A 21,445-nucleotide genomic window follows, 5' to 3' on the forward strand; every position below is an offset into this window, starting at 1 on the left:
CATTCCAAGGAAGGCCCTGTCAATACAGTGGGCCTGGCAAATCAGGGCTTAGATTAGGCTTACAGCCAGCATGCCACAGGCAAAGAGAACTCTTCCTTCCCACAAATCCAAGCAAAAGTCTCAGGATGTCTTTCCTGGATCAGCTTAGGTCATGGGTCTATCCCCCAACCAATCACTCTAGCCAGAGAGGCACAAGGCAATGATTGACCAGGCTGAGGTCAAGGCCACCCCAGAGCTGTAGGCACTGGAGGAGGCATCAGCTCCACCTCACACACGTGGATGAAGAATGAGGAGAAGTAGTTCCTGAGGCAAATCAAGGTAGCATTTCTAGAAGAGGGGGCAATGGATACATGGAATGGAAATATAACCAACATCTATACTCAGGTGAGGTGCTTGGCTTTTTTAAAATGTTACTCTGGAGAATGGAGCTTCTTTTTTTTTTTTTTTTTTTTTTTTCCCCAAGATGGAGTCTTGCTCTGTCACCCAGGCAGGAGTGCAGTGGCGCGATCTTGGCTCACTGCAACCTCTGCCCCCTGTGTTCAAACAATTCTCCTGCCTCAACCTCCCAAGTAGCTGGGATTTCAGATGCCTGCCACCACGCCCACTAATTGTTTTGTAGTTTTGGTAGAGACGAGATTTTACCATGTTGGCCAGGCTGGTCTCGAATTCCTGACCTCGTGATCCACCCGTCTCAGCCTCCCAAAGTGCTGGGATCACAGGCGTGAACCACTGGGCCTGGCCTGGAGCTTCTTATTTAAATCTGTCTTATTTGGGCACCAAACAGCCCCTACTGGATGCTAGACAGACCTGCCCAGAAATTTATGGATGGCAAGATAAATGACACACAGGCACTGATGGATGTGAAATCATGTTTATTAATCACACAGGAAACAGGCAAAGGGCTCCCTAAGGAGAAGGGTTCAGGCTCTCTGTTCAGCGTGAAGTGAGGGCCATGGGCAGGCAACATCAGGGCTTCGGGTTTTACAGAGCTCAGGGGCTGGGGCTGGGGTTCAGGTTTCCATGCACAAGCTGGGGTCTGAGTGATTTGAACCTCACTGCAAGCACAAAGGGACAGCATATCTGGGCTTCCTCATTGACTTGCCCAGATTGAGGTCAGGTCGGAAAGGGGCTTGAGAGTAGAATAGAGCTTGGAAGCTATCAGCAGTCAGACCTCAAAACAGAGTCAAACCCTTGACATCTTTTTACTCCAGTTTGGGGAGAAAACCCATAGAAGCCAAGGGTTCAAACTCTTGCCTACCCTGAACCAGCCTTGCCTCCCCGCATTTGTTTCTGATTGGTGTTGAAAAGGGATCCTGGGGGACATTCTCCAGGCTACCTTCTGTTAGCCAGTCTCATGATACCTGCAGGAAACAGATATGCTTTGCACACATGGGTTTCAATTGGCAAGCAATGGCAATGCATCTTTTTTTCAGAGGAAAATGGTTATCATGGAGGCAATGGAATAGATGTTGTTGAGTTCAGCGGCTGTGCATGAGGCACGGTGCTAGGGCTGATGTTAATACAAAGATAGATAAAGCATAATGTTCCCGTTCACAGGAGCAGGTGATGTAGTACAAGAGATGAGGGCCTGACTTGTAAGACAGGACATGTCATGAGTGGGTCCCAAGGGTCACATACAAGTGGTACAGGAGGCAGACATAGATTATATTTCAGACTGAGAGGACATATTGCTACCAGATGATGCTTTACAAAGATGATGTTTGAAATGATTCTTGAAAAAATAGTGTATTAGTCCATTTTCATACTGCTACAAAGACCTTACCTAAGACTGGGTAATTTCTAAAGAAAAAGAGGTTTAATGGACTCACAGTTCCACATGGCTGGGGAGGCTCACAATCATGGCAAAGGTGAAGGAAGAGCAAAAGCACATGTTACGTGGCAGCAGGTAAGACAGCGTGTGCGAGGGAACTGCCCTTTATAAAACCATCAGATCTCATGAAACTTATTCACCAGAATGAGAACAGCAGGGGAAAAAACTGCTCCCATGATACAGTTACCTCCCACCAGGTGCCTATAACACATGGGGATTATGGGAACTACAGTTCAAGATGAGATTAGGATGGGGACACAGCCAAACTCTATCAAACAGTAGTATATTTATGGTCAGGTGCTGAATGTATAGACAAGACAGGGAAACGCTAAACATAATATCAGACGGTGCCAAAAAGAACAAACTACTGCACTTCACAACCTGATTGAGTCACAGACATTATATCGAGTGAAAGAAGCCCGATACAAAACAAATACAGTATGATTCTGTTCCTATGACTCCAAGAACAGGCAAAAGTAATGAATGAAAATAAGCATAAGGCTAGGGATGACCTCCGGGTAGAGGAGGGTATTGATGGGGAGGGGTGTAAGGAGCTGTAAATGTTCTCATCTTGACTTGAGGGGTGGTTAGAGGGGTTCAAAATGTAAACGTTCATAAATTCTACCTTTAAGATTTATCTGTTTACCACATGTGCATTTTATCTAAATGAAAGAAAAAGGGCACAAAGGAATAAGCGTAATCGTAAAACTTATGTTTCCATGCATGGGGTAGGCTGAATAGTGGCCCCTAAGAGATGTCCGCGTCCTCAACCCTGGAACCTGTGAATATGTTACCTTACGTGGCATAAGAAACATTAGAGGTTATGACTGAGAATCTTGAAGTGGGGAGATTAGCCTGTATGATCCAGGTGGGCCTGATGCAAACACCATGGGCATTATAAGAGGGAGGCAGGAGAGTCAAAGGTGGAAGACAGAGATGGGATGACAGAAGCAGAGGTTGGAGTGATGCACTTTGAAGATAGAAGACGGGCCATGAGCCAAGTGACAAAGGTGGCCTCTGAAAGTTGGAAAAGACAAGGAAACTGATTCTCTCCCAGAACCTCCATAAGGAATGATGGTCTGCCAATACCTTGACTTTAGCCCAGTGAAACTGATTTCAAATGTCTGACCTCCAAAGCTGAAAGATAGTAAATTTGTACAGTGTTAAGCCACCAAGTTTGTGGCAATTTGTTACAGCAGCCATAGGAAACTAATATAGTGCATATTATTTGCCAAGGACAGAATTAAACCCTTATGATATGGTTAATCTCAATTCATCTTCATAAGTGCCCTTTGACTGAAGCTATTACCATTATTTATCCTCCTTTTATAAAGCAGGAAACTGAGACAGATCAAGTACCACCCCCAAGCAAAGAAAATAGTGAAGCCATGATTTGGGTCCAGACACTAACACTCGAGGTCTTCATCACTCAGCTTTGCCCCTGCCAAGCAGAAACGGCAGCTGGAGCACAGCCTCAGATGGCATGGTCTGGAGGAAACTGGAGTCCAGGCTGTGGCTTGTTCTGCCTGCAGAGCATTCCACCCAGCCCCCTCCAGGTCCCGTGGCCATGAGGAAGTGGTGTGGACTGAGAGGTTGCTGAAATAGCTTTGATGACAGGAGACTTCCTTCAGTGCAGTGTTGAGCATTGAAATATTTCACTTGTGCCCATTGGGCATCACATTTCACGAAGATGTGTTAACTAAGATCACTGAAATAAAACATAATTCTCTCCCCTGGATGTACTATACCGAGCTGCTGCTGTCACTGTGTGTGTGTGCATATGTGTGTGTGCATATGTGCAAGGTGGTGTTGGTGAGGGAGTTATACCAAGTTGTTGGCTCTGTCTCCCCTATTTCTTGGGGATCTAGCAGACTCATCTTTATTTATCAAATGGTAGTCAGAAGGTTGTACAACTAACCTTCACAGAGAATTTCATCAACAAACACAAAAGCCAAACCTGTGGCTCACTGGTTTCCTGAGCTCCACATTCAGCTCTACTGACAACAGGATGCTACTTGGCCAATTAACAGCAGGATGTGCACATATTTCTCTAAACCTTTTGGGTGGTTCTCCCAGTGAGTGGCTCTGCTCTCTATTTTTCCTTTGGACACAGAAGCATACTGGTTAAAACTAAGGGCTTTGGAGACTCAGAATACCAGCTCTACCTCTTACAAGCTGGGTAACCTTGGCAGGTCACAGACCTTCAATACATATTGAGTATCTGAAAGAGGATGTTTTCATTATCCCAAACCCAGAAGGTCAGATCTTTCAAGAACCTCAGAGGTCATCTAGTCCAATTTCCACATTTTATAGGTGGAGAAATTAGATTCAGAAAAGAGGCGAGTAGGCAAATGGCCAAGAGACAAGTGAGTGGCTAATCCAATTGTATGGATAACTGCCCTGTGTAAGGTTAGCTGATCATGAAAAAAATTAAAAAAAGCAGTACCATCAGAAGCATTTCTGGTAGACTATTAAGATCTATGATATGGTAATCATTTGAACAACTATGGTTATTAGTCTTATTTGCAGACACAGTGTTCAATTATGCAGACCACTCTAGTGCATCAGTCCCAGGGAACTTTCTTAGCCATCAGCACAGAGACAATTTTAAATGAATATATGCAGCATTTCCCCAGACCTACTCGTGATACCCAGGAGACCAACTACCCATGAAAAATCAGTTCACTACAAGAGGAGGCATGGGGGCTTTGAAGTACTTCTTATTGCATGGTAGTCAAGTAATTTTTTGAAAAAAGTAATTTTACTTTCTTGCATTCAGGGCTATCCAAAAGGCTATATGCAAATCTCCAAAAAAGCAGAGGTTAGTTTTTGTCTTTGTTCTAGAGAACATCCCTACATAGCAAAATCAAGAACTCATTGTCCATGGATCCTTCCTGATGCTCACAAACTGGTTTTATGTATTTATTTGCAACATGAAGGAAAGCAGACTTAAAATAACGTTATAAAAAGACCACAGCACATTGCACACATATATTTAATTCAGTAACTATGATGTATAGAAACGCTTCTGGAAACCTTAGAACTTAAACTATTAGGTCGGGTTTCAAACACCTGCCACTATTGGAGCAATAAAATATTTTTGTCCAAATTATTCTTCTCTGCCCCCTCCTCCTCTTCTCCTCCCCCTCCTCCTTCTCCTCCTTCTCCTCCCTCTCCTCCCTCTCCTCCCTCTCCTCCTTCCTCTTCTCCTCCTTTTCCTCCTTCTCATTCTTCTTCTTCTTTCTTCTTTCTTCTTCCTTCATTTCTGCCATGAACTGTGAGTAAGTCAGGACCCTCTGAGGAGTCTTAAATAAAACCACTGCCTCTTGGAAGCTTGTTAAAGTCTAGAGAGGTTTCACCGTAGCAAAAACTAAACAAGGCATCCTACCTAGAACTTGGGGAATTTTTTTCAAAGCGGTTCACACAAAACTGACTCAAGTGGTGCAAAGGGGTGGGGAATGGGAAGGTGGGTTAGCCTTTCAGTTGGACAAGATGTACTCTGTTGATGAGTATGGCTCCAATAGAAGTCCAGAAGAAAAAGCTCTGGATTTGGCTTTGTATTTTAGTATAAAGGGTTTTCAGCTACCTGGGCTCAAAGACTGGAATGATGAGCTTTCCACACTCATGCAGTCAGCTGATGAAAAAGCAATGCAGCCAGAGCAAAAAAATTAGGAGGAACCTTTTCTTCAGGCTTCAGCCTTTTCTTAGCCTAGAAAGAATTTCATTCAGCAAAGAGCTCAGCAAAGAGTCCATGAATGGGAACTCTGGGATGCCCCTTGAAATAGATCTGGATATTCACACATAGCCTGTCCTTCGGGTAAGCCTACAAATAGATTTTAGAACCACCTTCACCATAAATATCATGTCTTTTTATGCCCTTACATTCTCTGTCCATCAGCCTCCTTTTTTGGCATACTGATTGCATTAGAAATCCTAGAGGTTTTCTTAGCAAGTGAAGAATGGTAGATAGGATGCTTCCCATTGCCCAGGAGCTTGTCTGCTTTATTGATATACTACTTAGTTTGAAAGTATCAGTTGACTTTTCAGTCCTGGGGAAAAGGCATGGGAATACTTGTTATTCTAAGGACAATTTAAAAATTTAGTCTTGCAGTTGTTCTGTCCTTTAGGAAAAGTCTTGTGCTCAAAGTCTGCCTCCTATTTAATATATGAAGGCAGCTGTGGGATAATGGATAAGAATGGTATACTGCTGTTAGAATGGAAAAGAATGCTATACTGCTGTTAGATTGTGAGTTTTTCACTTATTTATTTAGTACCTATTCTTACACAGAATTTACTATATGCCCCTTTCCTAGGTCTAGGGATATAGAATAAATATCAGAGTCATCAGGAGTGCTGTGGAGGAGGCTTACTTCAGTGAACAGAGGAAACCTTTTGGAAGAGGTAGAATTTCAGCTGAGACCCAAGCCTTGAGAGAAAATCACCTAAGACAAGAATAGAAACATTCCAGGCAGAGGAAAATAGCCAATGTAAAGGAACTGGGGCAGGATACAGCTTATTGTATTTGAGACTTAAAAAGGAAAAGCCATCAAATAAAATGGAAATGTGGCAAGGAAAGAAGAAAATGAGGCTTAAAGAAGTAGCAGGCACTAAGTCCTGGAAATGCTTATATGCCATAGACAGGCATGTGGGTTTTATTCAATGTATAGTAGAAAGTCATTAAAAGGTTTGAAGTAAGAAAATGATGAACTCTAGCTGACACCTCTCAGTAAGAATCTGGCTAATGTGTAGAGGACAAATTTAAGAAAACAAGCATAAAAAATGAGAGAGGGAACCAAGAGCTGCTACCAAAGTCCAGCAAGAAATGATGGTGGTTTGGCCCAGGGTGGTGTTACAGAAGCAAGAACAGAGAGATGGACGGAGAGAGAAAGGGACAGTTCCTGAATCTGGAGATATACTAAAGGTAAATGGTAGATTTGGTATGGGAGGAATCCCTATATGTTAGCACAGTGGATGGAATAGGTACTCAAAAGTTTTCTCAGAAGTGAACTAAATGTGGAGTTTAGGTTGAATTTCAACTTTTGCCCTTTATACACCTGTGGACAAATCCCTAACCTCTCTCAGTGAAGGTTGGAGGGGATTTCAGACCTCCAAGTCCATTGTAAGTGGGTGTCTTAGTCCACTTTCTGCTGCTATCACAGAATTGGATAATTTATAAAGAACAGAAATTTATTTGGCTCATGGTTCTGAAGGCTGGGAAGTCCAAGAGCATGGTACTGACATCTGGTGAGGGTCATCCCTTGGAGGAAGGGTAGAAGGTGGAAACAAGCACAGGAGACAGAGAGGGAAGTAGGCCAAACTTACCTTTTTATGAAGATCCCACTCCCATGATAACAGCATTAACTTCATTCAAAAGGACAGAGCCCTTGCGGCCTAATCACCTGTTAAAGTTACTACCTCTTAATACCATTTAAGTGGCAATTAAATTTCAATGTGAGTTTGGGCAAAAACAGTCAAACCAGAGCAGCAGCCAACCACCCAGATGGAGGGGTCATAATGAGGATGGACATTTCTGGAGATATCAGTGTCCATATTGGTTTTACCAAGGCTTCTTAGTATTCACTGAGCAGGACCTGGGCAGGTGACCAGGAAAACCTTGCATTTTATTTCTGCCTCCACCCTGACTTTGAGCTGAACTTACCGTGGACCCTTCACAGGGCAGAAAAGCAGCTAACTCTCCTTGACCTTCTGTGATTGACTTTGGATGAGTTTGTCCAGAAACTTGTCAGTTCAGATGCTCATTTGGCTGATGGACAAGAAGCTTGTGGGAACCAGGCTGCTACCACAGACCCAACTCAGGAAAATCAAAGAGCAGCCTGGGGGCTTTTAGAGGCTTACTCATCATAGAGAGCATTTGGGTATATGGTTAATTATATGCTTTATTACGGATGCTAATTTGTGCTGGAAGCTGATACAGTGTGTGTTAGCATTTAGCTTTAGTTAATGAAGTTGGGTTAAGCATTCAATATATCACTGAGCTCACAATTTCTCCTCTTGGCTAGAACAACATGGTGTGGAAAACTGAGGGGTGATGGTGTTGGGGAAGAGAAAACATTCACACAGTGAGTTCCTTCCCTGTAACTCTAGAATGTCTTCAGTGCTGCATTGTGCTTGCACCATTTTAATGTGAGATAATTTTCAGTGGGATAAAACCCTGGGCATGTGTTAAAAAAGAAGTATTGTTGTGATTACTTATTAGCATAATCAGAAAAAGCCCCTGTGTGGGCTCCAATGAGGCCAACTGGAGCCCTGTTGTTTCTTTTTTAAAAGTCTTCATATTTTAAGAAGAAGAAAAGGATGCTGACATAAAAATGCCTTCAGTGTGTTTCACTCAGCTCAGTACCTAAGTTAAATCATTGCTGATAACTTTAAAATACAGAGGATAAACAAACGTATGTTTGACCTTCGCAATAAAGAAAATCATGTATTTGCTCTGCTCCCATTGGTGTTAAGAGAAGCTACGTATGTAAATCTCTGACACATCAATGAAATAATAAACTCCTGGATGAGCCATTTAATTTCTCTTTCATAGCTACCTTTCACGTTTGGCTAAAAGAAGGGGGAGAAAACCAATGTCCTCGATAAAAACAACTTAGGTTGACCCTGATTCTTCGGCATTCTTCCTTAGAGCCCAGCTTCAGAGACTGGGAATTCAAGAGGGTCTGACAGGGAAGGAATTGAGCTGCCCACGTGGGGACTGTCACCAGAGACCCAAGCCTTGCAGAAAGGCTGGTTTGATAGCCTGCCTGAGTCCTTTTGCCTCCCTGCTTCCCCCATCCAAGGCTTCAGTTGTACCTATCTGTCCTCTACTGGGAATTAACACAAGCTCCAGCTGCTTTGGGATGTTTTATAGTCTTGATGGGTCGAATAAGAGGCTACTTTTCCTTGAGTACTTACTGTATTCGTCCATTTTCATACTGCTATGAAGAAATACCCGAGACTGGGTAATTTATAAAGAAAAAGAGGTTTAATGGACTTACAGGTCCACATGCCTGGGCAGGCCCCACAATCATGGTGTAAAGTGAAGGAAGATCAAAGGCATGGTGGTAGGCAAGAGAGCGTGTGCAGGGGAACTGCGCTTTATACAGCCATCAGATCTCATGAGACTTATTCACTATCATGAGAACAGCACAGGAAAACCCACCCCCATGATTCAATTTCCTCCCACTGGGTCCTCCCATGACACATGGGGATTATAGGAGCTACAATTCAAGATGAGATTTGGGTGGGGACATAGCAAAACCATATCACTTACTAAGTGCCAGACACTATGCTAGGCATTTGAATGCAATATCTCATTCAATCCTCGCAAGAGACTTACTGAGGCCAGTGTTCCTAGGACTCATGAATTGCAGATAAGAAAAATTGAAGGCACAGAGCTGGTAAGGGGAAGTGACTGTTAAGTCACACTGATTCCAAAGTTTAATGTTCTGAATGAAGAGCTGGCAAACTTTTTCTCTGAAGGGCATAGAATACATATTTTTGGCTCTGCTGGGCATTATGGTCTTTGTTGAAATAACTTACTTCTGTTGTTATATAGGGAAGGCAACTGCAGACAAAATACAAATAACATGTTCTTTCGGGGTAACCAGCCCCCAAGATTTCAACGTAGATTCTTTTCTATTTTCCCTAAGTGTCGGCCAGTCTGAGAAATAAAGGGAAAGAGTATAAAAGAGATAAATTTTAAAGCTGGGTGTCCGGGGGAGACATCACATGTCGGCAGGTTCCGTGATACCCCCTGAGCTGTAAAACCAGCAAGTTTTTATTAGCAATTTTCAAAGGGGAGGGAGTATACGAGTAGGGTGTGGGTCACAGAGATCACATGCTTCAAGGGCAACAAAATATCACAAGGCAAATGGGCAGGGCAAGGTCACAAGGCCAGGGCAAAACTAGAATTACTAATGAGGTTCCCGGTCCGCTGTGCACGCATTCTCATTGATAAACATCAGGAAACAGGGTTTGAGAGCAGACAACCAGTCTGACTAAAATTTGCTAGGCAGGAATTTCCTAATCCTAATAAGCCTGGTTTCATCCCTATTTACAACTGCATAAGGTAGACACTCCCAGAGTGGCCATTTTAGAGCCCCCCCGCACTACCCCCCTGGGAATGCATTCTTTTCCCAGGGCTGCTAATTATTAATATTCCTTACTGGGGAAAGAATTCAGCGATATTTCTCTTACCCGTTTTTGGCAATAAGAGAAATATGGCTCTGTCCTGCCTGGCTCCCAGGCAGTCAGACCTAATGGTTATCTCCCTTGTTCCCTGAACATCGCTGTTATCCTGTTCTTTTTTCAAGGTGCCCAGATTTCATATTGTTCAAACACACATGCTTTACGAACAATTTGTGCAGTTAACGCAATCATTACAGGGTCCTGAGGCAACATATATCCTCAGCTTACGAAGATGAGGGGATTAAGAGATTAAAGTAAAGACAGGCATAGGAAATTATAAGAGTATTGATTGGGGAAGTGATAAATGTCTATGAAATCTTCACAATTTATGTTCAGAGATTGCAGTAAAGACAGGCATAAGAAATTATAAAAGTATTAATTTGGAGAACTAACAAATGTCTATGAAATCTTCACAATTTATGTTCTGCCATGGCTTCAGCCAGTCACTCCATTCGGGGTCCTTGGTTTCCCACAACAATGTTCCACTAAAAATACATTTACAAAAAGTGTGTGTAGCCAGATATGGCTGTCAGGCCCTAGTTTGCCAACTTCTGTTCCTGAACGGTTGTCCTTTCTACTTCCCCAGGCTCTTTGGTGAAGAGTTCAGGTTTTGGAGTCTGACGGAGCCAGGCTCACATTCAGTCTCTGCCACTTGCTTGCTGTACTCTGTTGGAGAAATCTCTTAACCTCTGGGAGCTTGTTTTTTTCCATCTGTGAAATGGGCAGAAGACCAACCTAAGATGGTAGTTGTGAAAATCAAATGCAAAACATGTGTGAAGTGTGGAACACAGGGCTTAGCATTGGGATAGCTGTTGAATTGTGGACTCTGGCTACTGAGAGGTGGTTTAACAAGGGTGCTCCTGCCTCTGGGAAGAGAGCATAAACCTAGGCCTGTCTTCAGTGGCTGAGCAGCCCCAGACCAGGCAGAGGAAGGTTCTGGGTCCATGCAGACTTCAACTTTAGTCTTCAGTGTTCATTCCTTGTTTCTGCCCCATAAGAATACCTTGCTATCGGGGAACCAAAGTCAGGAGCTTACAATGGAAATTCAAGCCCCTAAGATCCCAGGGTACATGAGCTCCAATATTAAAGCACAAAGGAGGAAACCGAGACATTATTTAAATGCTTTTTAGAGTAAGAGATACAAAGAGTCCCTCACTGTTTTACACTTGTAAAGAGACCCCTGCTGGATTCCCAGGTATAATCTGCAGTAAAAAGCTACAGGGCTACAACAAGGCCTCTGGTTCCATTGGCTCACTTCCTTTTTCCCCATAGCCTCTGGCATAAAAACGCAAACCAGAGAGACACTTTAGAATTCACTTGTGCAGTGCTTTTTCTGTCAATCAGCTGCTGACAGTGGAAACACAAAGAAGGTGACATGACACAATTGCTGTTAATATCTATACTTCTGATATGATCATCCTAGAGGAACCACAGTCATCAGCTCTCTGCTCATGGCTCCCCAGGGCACAGAACACTAGGCAATTAAATGACAGAATTAGGTTGAAATAATGCTAATGGTGCTGATGAGAATGCAAAGGACCAGGCAGGCTGGGGTCCTAGCTCAGCCTCAGGCAGGCAGAGTAAGTAGGGTTGGGTGTGGATTGTTTTGCATAACAATAGTGTTATGCACATTTATCTTTTTTCCTTTACTGAGACAAGCAGAGAATGATTCATTCCTTTCTCTCCTATCATTTGCTTAGTAGATTAAACTCAAAAAAGCATTTATGTATTAGCTCACATAACTGAAAAATCCAGAGGTCTATTGTCCTCAGGTGTAGCTGGATCCAGGGGCTCAAACCATGTTGTCAGGACTTAGTGTCTCTCTCTGTCTTCTCTGTATCTCTCTATATATCTCCTTCACTCCTGGAATAGATGGAAAAAAAGTAGAAGTTCCCAAGGGCAATAAAATCTTATAACTAAGGTGTAGAGTTAGGTAAGGGTGGTCAGAAAAATTTGCAGGCTAAGGAAATGTTTGAGTTTGAAAATACAGCCTCCAAGGAGGGGTCCGAGGCAATGTGTTTTGACCTGTGTCCTCTGAACACCTACAGAAGAGTCTTCTGGGATTGGTTGCCATGAGACAGTTTCCTGGGCTTCACCTCAGACCTGCAGAATGTGATTCCCAGGAAAAGGCCTTGAGCTATGCATTTCTTTAGCAAGTTCCCTCCAAATCTTGTGCACACTTCTGTTTAGAACAGTCTTAGGTGTAGCAGCCTCTCATTCTGCACAATTAATAAAATGTAATTTAAGGATATACACTGAAGCTAGACCAGGAAATATATAATATGTAGGGTGGATACTTTAAAAAAAAAAATCAGAACACTGACTCTGGAAGGCTGTTGGATCCTCCTGCTCTCCAATCCCTTGAGTAACATACATAGGCAATCCTGACTTGCAGGTGAATTCTGCTGTAGGCAGAGAGCCTCCCTGCGACCTTAGAAGGAGGCAATAACTTCTTTTTCATGCAACAGTGCAGAAAGTATGGAAATCTTCTGAAAATCCCATCTCTAGCTGGCTTTTGCTCTGTATGATTTACTTAGAGAAAAGAGCCTGGTAGATTCTAAGGCCCCAGGACATTTCCATGAGCTCCTTTCATCCATCATTCCAGTCTTGGAAAGGGAAAGTGCGATGTCCCTAATTCTTGTGCTTCTCGATCAATCTTCCTGCTACACCAGATCCTAACATGGGATGTGTAGTCTACAGAGAGATGGCTGGGTCATCATTCTTGCTCTGCCCCTTACAAGCTGAGTGACCTTGAACAAGTTATTTAACATCTCTGAGTCTTAGTTTTCTCCTAGGCAGCACCTGTCTCACAAGGTGGTGGATGAAACTAAGAGAGAATGCATGGGAGTGAGTCGGAGGCATTTAGCATAATGTCTGGCACCTAATAAGTGCTCAATAAATATCAGCTACTATGATTTGGTTAGTTCTTATTAGTACTTAATCTGTGATGTGCGCAGAGAGGAGAAATAAGATTTTAATATAAGAACGCTAGCAGGCTTTCACATCTTTTGCAAGCCAATAGAGCCTTGGGGAAAGGTTTGGCTTCTATTAGTTTCTCCAATGGCTTTAATTATATATAATTACACAGAAGGGATAATGAATACTTAGTTCATTTCCATTAGGGTCTCAACAGAGCTTGGTAGTTAAGACCATGACCTTTGGTGCAAAACAGATTTGGGTGTGAGCCTGGCTCTGTCACTAGTTCTATGATTTTGGGTGAGTTACTGAACCTCTCTAGCCTCAATTTACTAGTCTATAAAATGGGAAGACTAATAGGATTCATATCACTGTGTTCATTGGAGGTAAAGTATCTGGCATAATGTTTGCTCCATGGAGAATGCCCCACCACCACCACCTCATTATGTTCATAGATCCTTGTCAACGGAGGAATCTCTGTATTTCCTATACTTTACAAAAAGACAATTCTGTTGGGTTTGTCTTTTTTCCCACTTAAAATGGCTGTGCAAAGTATTGTGAATATGTTGTAAAACTTCTTACTCTGTACACTAATTACATCACCAAAGAAGGGCTCTACTCAGCTAGAAAGGAGAAGCTTGGATTAGAAGAATGGAAGAAGGGGATTTTAATGCCTTTCTAAGGTTACTGAAGGCTCTGAATATTCTAGGATCCTTGGAGCTGAGGGTAAGGAGTGCATTATGAAACCCTCTTTGCCGGATTTATTTCTCTTCCTTCTCTTTGTCTCCTTTCTTTCTTTCCCCTTCTCTTCTCTTCCCTTTTCTTTTGTTAGATGGATATGGAGATGGAGACATAGTGATCTCTCACCACCCTTGAAATTGGGCCGTCCCTTTTTTTTTTTTCCCCCTTTTTTTTTCTATAGCAGATGATCCTAAAACACAAAAGTACCCATTTGTTTCTTCCTGCTTATTCATTCTTGCAACAGAATAACAGGAGGATAGAGGAAGGCACTATCAAAGGCATTTCTGTTCAAAAGAAAAACTCCTCAATGATCACTATTACTGTTGGAAGCTCCTTTTGCTTCTTTGACAGCATAATCACTTTTCTCTCCTTGATTTTTGCCTGTATCCCTGAGGCACCTGAACATGAGATAGTTTTCCCTTTTTCAAGATGTGTCTGATGCACAGAAAGCAGCAGACGAAGCTCATGATGGCCCTGGGGCATAGCTAGGGCAGTGGCAGGCCATGCACAGCTGGGTCTGTGTTGTCCCTGGTGGGAGGCATATCACTACTGGAGCACAGGAGGATTTTGGGAGGCCCATGGACAAAGCATCCAAAAAACCATCAGATCACAAGGTGAGAAGTTATTCCCTCTCCACTTCTCTCTCCAGCCTCAAGAGCAGGACTCTGTCTGGTGCTAGGGTATTTTAACGCCTCTCTAACACTTACTAATGTCCCTTTGTAATAAAGTGAGAAGGCAAGCCTCTGAACAGGGCTTTCAGCAGGCAATGGTACCCAGCTAGAATTTAATAACTTTTTTTCATGATATTCATGAAATATAGCTTCTATATTTATAGCAAGGGATACTGGTTTTCTATTTGCTGCAGTAATTATGAGTTTCCTTTTCATTGAACAATGTAAGAAACATAAAAATTAAATGAAAACATAATAAGTAAACAACATAGGTATTATGTAGATATGACAAAAGTGTTGAAGGTTGGGAAGACTGAGGAGGACTGAAGTTTGGGAAAACCACCCTTGGTACAGTGACAGACCTTTTCCCTTTTGGGCTTACTTCCAAAGTAGATCTACCTTCCCTTGAAGCCAGATGTCTGGATGCATTAGTTTGTGAGATTCTCTATGAATGCACAAAGACAAGATCTCCACAGGGATAAAGAGCGTGCTAGGGAACATTTTAGCTTTAGTCTTCAGTCTTTAAGTAGCTTTATGAGAGAAAGAGGCCCACTAGGTTCTTTCCATAGGAGAAAGTTCAGGGCAGCAGGGAGATGGGGCTTTAGAGTTTGGTTGACTTGGGTTTTCATCTCAGCCAGAAAGGTACCATTGTGGACTCTGGATTTATATCATCTGGATTCAAATGAAAGCTCTGACACTTACTAACTGGGTAACCAAGGGAAAGTTACACATATTTCATGCTGTAATTCTCCTATCTGTAAAATGGGATAATAATAGAATTTACTTAGAGGGTTGTTGTGAAGATTGAATAAGTTAATAATGTAGACTACCTAGAAAAAATGTCTAGAACATAATCTCATGGTAAGTGCTCAATAAATATTAGGTGCTATTATTGTCATTGTCATCATCCACCACCACCACCACCACTACCACCACCACCACGGGTGACATTCTCTCTGAGTCTCATGTTCCTTTGTTTGTAAAATCAGACTGGTACTACCTGCTTCAAAATGTCATTGGTGCATGAGGCTGATGCACAATAAATGCCAGCTCCCTACCATTCACTTTCCCTAAAAATGTGAAACTTGTAAGGTGATGCAAACTTCCAAAGCTATGGGTCTTTAGCCTTTGAACCTTACTGAATTGTGAATGAAGCACCACCTCAATGGGGTTTATGAGTGCTGAGGCACCTATACACACCCATGCATGGAGTTTCTGGCGATGCTTGATATCCAGTTGTGGGAGACATACATGAATGTCAGTTGTTCAAAATGGCACTTTTGGCTTTTAAGGAAGTTCATTGACCAATCAAGCCCAGCAACCGTAACCATAGATCCAGCTGGAGCATGGATGAGCTCCTTTTCCCTGAAGATAGATACATTAAAGTCTTTAGCAGCTAAGACCAATTTTAAACCCATGCTACTTCTCTCGGCTGAAGTGAGCACCATTTTATTAAGTTGGTAGTGAGCTGTAGCTGCCCCACTTTCTTATTGTTCATCTACTATTGATCTAAACTAATCACTTAATTAGCCCAGACAAGAAGGCTTCTGCAGTGTTAAATAACTCTAAAAACCTACTGGAAATGCTTGAGTGGCCTGATTGGATTTAACTTGCAGTTCATTACTTTTAGACTAAGATATGTTAAATACAGGGCCTGAAAAACAGCTAGATTCTGCATTAAGAACACATTTTATTTACTTAAAAAAAAATATTCCTTTAGGCCAGTGGTTTTCAAAGTGTGGGCCCTGACCCACCAGTATCCATGTTACCTGGGAACTTGTCAGTCCCTGGACCCACTGCAGACCTACTGAATCTGAAACTCTGGAAGTAGGGCCTTGCAATCAGTTTTAACAAGTATTTAAATATCAGTATCTTGGTGATACTGATGGAGGCGTAGGCATGAGAACCACTGCTTTAGACTGTCTCACAAAGTTATGGACTTATTTTATTCTCTCTGGCAGCAAGAAGAAAAAGAATAAAGGAGAAAAAAAGAAAAAGGGTGAGGGGCAAGAAAGAAAATTAGAAAAGTGGGAGACCTGAGCAACCTGGATAGGAAGTTCATTTACTGAAGTGTGACCCTGGACCAGCAGCACGGGACTCTTTTAGAATCTGGGAGCACTATTTGAAATCCTTCCTTAGGAACCAGGCATATCAAAGGGAGGTGTTCACCCCAAGCCAGGGTGATGAGACAAAATGCTCAGAGAGTGAGCAAAATGCTGCTGTGCTGTCAGAAAATGAGAGGATAGTGTGACATTTGCAGAGTGAACTAAAGAATCCAGGAAAGTCCCATTAGCTCTCCAAGGCCTTCCCTGAGATGGGCACACAGAAGTTATCCAGTAAATGCTCATTGAACTGACACAGATTGAGACTTAGTGGCCTAAACTGCTTCACCTGCAAATTCTCATCTGAGAAAGTAGGTATGTTTATTGGGCCTGGTCTGTAGGGAAAAACAAGAGTTAGCCCACAGGACATCTACTGTTCTCACTCTTCCTGCCTTCTGAAAAACAGCTTGGCATAGGGAAAAGGGCAAGGAGTTCATATATAGACAGGCATTCTTATTTGTGTCTGACCTGAAGCAAGTTACCAACTCTTTAAGCTTTAGTTTCCTTGTCTATAGAAGGAGAGTAACAGTTACTTACAGATGATTTTGCTCAGCACTGAGTACCAGCACCTAGTACATATAGTATTTGGCATACAATAGGTGTTGCATAAATATTTGTTAAATAAAAAATTTTTAAAGGGAGGAAGAAAGGAAGGAAACATAGAATTTTTAAAGATTTAAATAATGCTTTGAAAATTCTTAGCATAATGACTGGTACACAGATATTCTTCAGTAGTATCCAGTATTATGATGAGGAGGATCCAATGTGATGAGGAAGAATAGATTTAGAAAAAAATCTTCTCAGTGCCTAGAATAGACTCTATATTCTTACTGAAACTAGGCCTGCTCTTCCCATTCCTCCACGGTTACTCTCTTAACCTGTTCAGGCTGCTATAACAAAATACCATAAACTAGGTGGCTTATAAACAACAGAAAATTATTTCTCACAGTTCTGGAGGCTGGGAAGCCCAAGATCATGGCGCCGGCAGATTACTTGTCTGGTGAGCACCTGTTTCCTGGTTCATAGACAGTGCCTTCTCACTGTGTCCTCACATGGTGGAAGGGGCAAGGCCACTTGCTGAGGCTCTTTTTTAAGAGACTCTGCCATCATGGTCTTATCACTTCCCACAGGCCCTTGCTCCTCTTAACACTCTCATTGGTGATTAGGTTTTAACATGGAATTACGGAGGGGAGACAAGCAGACCTTAGCAGTCTCTCCACTTTCCAGTTATGCCTTCAGGGCTGCCTCACCGCTGTTCCATGCATAGTAGGTAATAAAGATATTTTCAGGGCCTAAGTGAACTACATGGATGTGACAATGATTGAGGGTTGTTGGTCGTAGTCATAGTCATTCCAGGTAGGAATGACCCAGGTTTTATTCTGATAACTAAGAAGTTACATCTTAATTATTTTACATTGTTTTATTTCCAGGTTAGGTAATCATTAACCCTTTGATTAACACATTTGCTTTAGGGTAAAAGTAAACATGTTTAGAAACATCTCTCCCCGCCCCCACCAATATGTTATTATCGTATACAAATGCCATTATTTGCACTCACTTACATGACTAAAGGGAGGTTTTCACCTTGAGAATATTTGGATATCCCTTGCTTTTCTTTAACCATTCCTCCCCCTTTGTCTTTGTACATCAGCACAAAGGAGCAACTTGCCAACTCAATAGACTTAGGAGAGAAATTGGGAATGGTAAATTTGCTGAGAGTCCATGGTTACCAGTTCCTCTTCAAAGAACATGGGTTTTGGGGTTACACCCGAGTTCAAATCTCACATCCACCCATTACCAACTTTGTTACCTTGAGCAAGTTACTAAATCTTTCTAGGCATAAATTCCCATGTACATTGTATGAGGATCTTGTATAAATTAAATGACATCATTTACAAATGTATCTACAGCAAATATTCAACAAAAGTTCATTTCCTTCTTACCAGCATGTTGAGCAAGGACATTCAACAGATGGAGACACCCAGAAGAAGGAGGTACATGCCCAGACCTTAGTCTGGAGGTTGGATTCAGGGAAGGATGAATGGTAGAGGTTTCTGTTCAGTAAGACACATGGCTCCTGGTCATCATCTGAAAGAATTGGTGGGGGTTTAAAAGTATTGTTCTATAGCTTTGGGTCAACTGTGATGAAAGCAATCATGGAGGAAGATCCTTTAAACCTCCTTGCCAAAAATGGAGGATCATTCTTTTCCACCATGTGGATTTTGGTGACAGGTATAACAATAAAAATAGGAATGAGCTGAGAGTTGGAAAAGTGAGAACTCAAAGATAACGGGAGAATCTTCTTCGGAATGTCATCAGTACAAGGAGGGAGTAGCTGCCATGCTGTTTCTGTCTAACACAACAGACATGTGATAATGGAAATGGATGTTCATGCACACATCCAGTTACCCACTGCTCACCATAAAATTAGCAACACTCCAGCCCCTGTGCAAAAGAGAAACAGAGTAGTGGGTATTTGTGTCCAAGAAGAAATCAGAGAGAAGAAGGATTCTGCCAGGGACATTGTTCTGAATTAAGCATTGGTTTTCATTGCTTTTGGTATTTTCTCCATGTAGACCAGACCCACTTTAGCAAACAGAGTCATCATTGGCTTTTCCCATATTGGTATCATTAGGCTTTGTTTAGTTCTTGAAACTGCTACAGGAAAGGAGTCCCCATCCAGACCCGAAGAGAGGGTTCTTGGATCTCACACAGTAAAGAATTCAGGGCGAGTCCATAAAGTGAAAGCAATTTTATTAGGAAAGTAAAGGAATAAAGAATGGTTACTCCACAGAGCAGCCCTGAGGGCTGCTGGTTGCCCATTTTTATGGGTATTTCTTGATGATATGCTAAACAAGGGGTGGATTATTCATGCCTCCCCTTTTTAGACCTTATAGGGAACCTTCCTGACATTGCCATGGCATTTGTAAACTGTCATGGCACTGGTGGGAGTTAGCAGTGAGGACAACCAGAGGTCGCCCTCATTACCATCTTGGCTTTGGTGGGTTTTAGCCGGCTTCCTTACTGCAACCTGTGTTTATCAGCAAGATCTTTATAACCTGTATCTTGTGCCGACCTCCAATCTCATCCTGTAACTTAGAGTGCCTTAACCGTCTGGGAATGCAGCCCAGTAGGTTTCAGCCTCATTTTACCCTATATAATAATGATCTCCTACTCAAGATGGAGTTGCTGTGGTTCACACACCTCTGAAAAAACATCTCCTAAAAGGCTCTGGAAACAGTTCGTGTTTACAATGGCCTCATGGGGCCAGCATGGAAATAGAGTGTTTCAGGCTGGCCTTCCCCACCTGCAGCCTCCACAGCCTCCAAACCATGCCAGAATTACAGGAAGAGCCTGAAATGAGAAAACCCATGGATTGACAGGTAGGAATGAAACTCTCCCAGCATTTTAGTTGCATAGACAAAATGGAAGAAAAACTGCAAGTAGGCTTGCAATATGACTCAACTAACTGTTCCACGTGACCAAGCGTTGATTCATTTCTTCAATTCAAAGTCAAACAGTGAAATGTGGAATTAGCCCTGAAGGCAGGGGCCAGGCATTCTGGTGACATTTGCCATTACAACCTGAGAGAGGTTCAGTGTTTGACATCCTGGGTATAAGAATAATTGTTACTTTTAGGGCTGTTCTCTGGATCACAAATCAGTAACCCTCTAGCAGAGGGAAGATTACCAGTACTTGCCATCTTCTCTCACTGGCATTTTCTCTACTGAGCACATCCTGTTCAGACTGCAGTGCTTTTTACCTTCAGCTAAGAGCGAAACATCCTAGACCAGGCTTGGGAACTAGAGGGCTTTCCAGTCTCAAGGAAGCAGCAACAATCATTCCCAATAAACAGGGCTTTGGCAAAGGCATATAATAAGATTTTAAACAAGATGCCGTTGAGTTCTACTCAGTCTGTTGTCTTATACCAGATCAAAACCATCAAATGCCAAATGCCTGAAGTCGCTGTTTCAATGTTGGCTCCCAAAAATGATAAGTCTGCGTCAAATCCCTGAAATCTGTGTATGTGACATTATTTGGAAAAAGGGAGTTTGCAGATGTAATGAAGTTAAAGATATTGAGATCGTCAGCCTGGATTATTCAAGCGGGCCCTGAATCCAATGACAAGTGTTCTGATAAGAGTCACCCAGAGGAGAGAGACACAGAGCGAGGAGGAGGAAAGTGAGATCAGACAGAGACCAGCAAGATTCCAAGGAACGCCAAGGATCATCAGCCACCAGCAGCAGCCAGGAAAGAGGCATGGAATGGGTGCTGCCCCAGAACCTCTGGAGGGAGCATGACCTTGCTGGATTTTGGATTTCTGGTCTCCAAAACTGTGAGAGAATAAATTTCCATTTGTGGTCATTTGCTATGGCAGACACAGGAAACTGATACACCACATGTTGGTGATGGTACTGGGGTCTGGGAGTGGCCCATAAGCCTAAAGAGATTCTCAGAGTCTTTGTGTGAAAAAGAAAAATCCTGGTTTTGTTCTTTGTAGCAGTGCTATAGATGTGTTTTATTTTCCTGTGTAAACTCTAATCCCCACATTTATTAATATAACAGAGGAAAGAAAGAGCCCACTACCGTCATCTTTCCTTGAAGAAATTGACTATTGTGGGCAAGGGGCTTGCTTCCTAACACTCCTTACACTCCTGCCACTCAAACAGCTCAGTCTGAAAGGTCCCATCACTGCATTACATGCTTGTTTTGTTCCTGAAGCTGATTTTGCCATTTTAAGCTCTTGAGCTTTGCTTCTCTGCACTGAAGGCAGGAAGAGAATATAACCGAGGAAAGGTTGTACATTTCTTGTTCTATTATGTTACCTACCAAAATGGAAACTCTAAATCTTAGCCTCAACAAACCTTTGGTTTATAGGAAGCACACTAGTTCTAAGAGATCCACTTCCTGAGTTATGCCTTTCAGAGACTGTAAGATATCAATTTTTAGGTTAGCACAGGCTAAATATTTTAACTACCATTTTATTTCCATCC

At 42.4% G+C, this 21,445-nt stretch overlaps 1 long non-coding RNA gene across 1 annotated transcript in view, besides 1 other annotated feature; it reads left to right on the forward strand.

Moving 5' to 3' along the window:
- Window positions 1-21,445, forward strand: part of CFAP20DC-DT (CFAP20DC divergent transcript) — a 724,471-nt gene that overhangs the window by 619,695 nt on the left and 83,331 nt on the right. The window lies entirely within an intron of this gene.
- Window positions 11,173-11,901: an enhancer, noted in NCBI's record as "OCT4-NANOG hESC enhancer chr3:59703433-59704161 (GRCh37/hg19 assembly coordinates)". NCBI's record gives its function as "activates a minimal SCP1, AML or CMV promoter by ChIP-STARR-seq in naive H9 embryonic stem cells {active_cell/tissue: H9 hESC(naive)}" and the evidence as "EXISTENCE:reporter gene assay evidence [ECO:0000049][PMID:30033119]".

Source organism: Homo sapiens, chromosome 3 (genome assembly GCF_000001405.40).
Source record: "Homo sapiens chromosome 3, GRCh38.p14 Primary Assembly".
Lineage (NCBI taxonomy): Eukaryota > Metazoa > Chordata > Mammalia > Primates > Hominidae > Homo > Homo sapiens.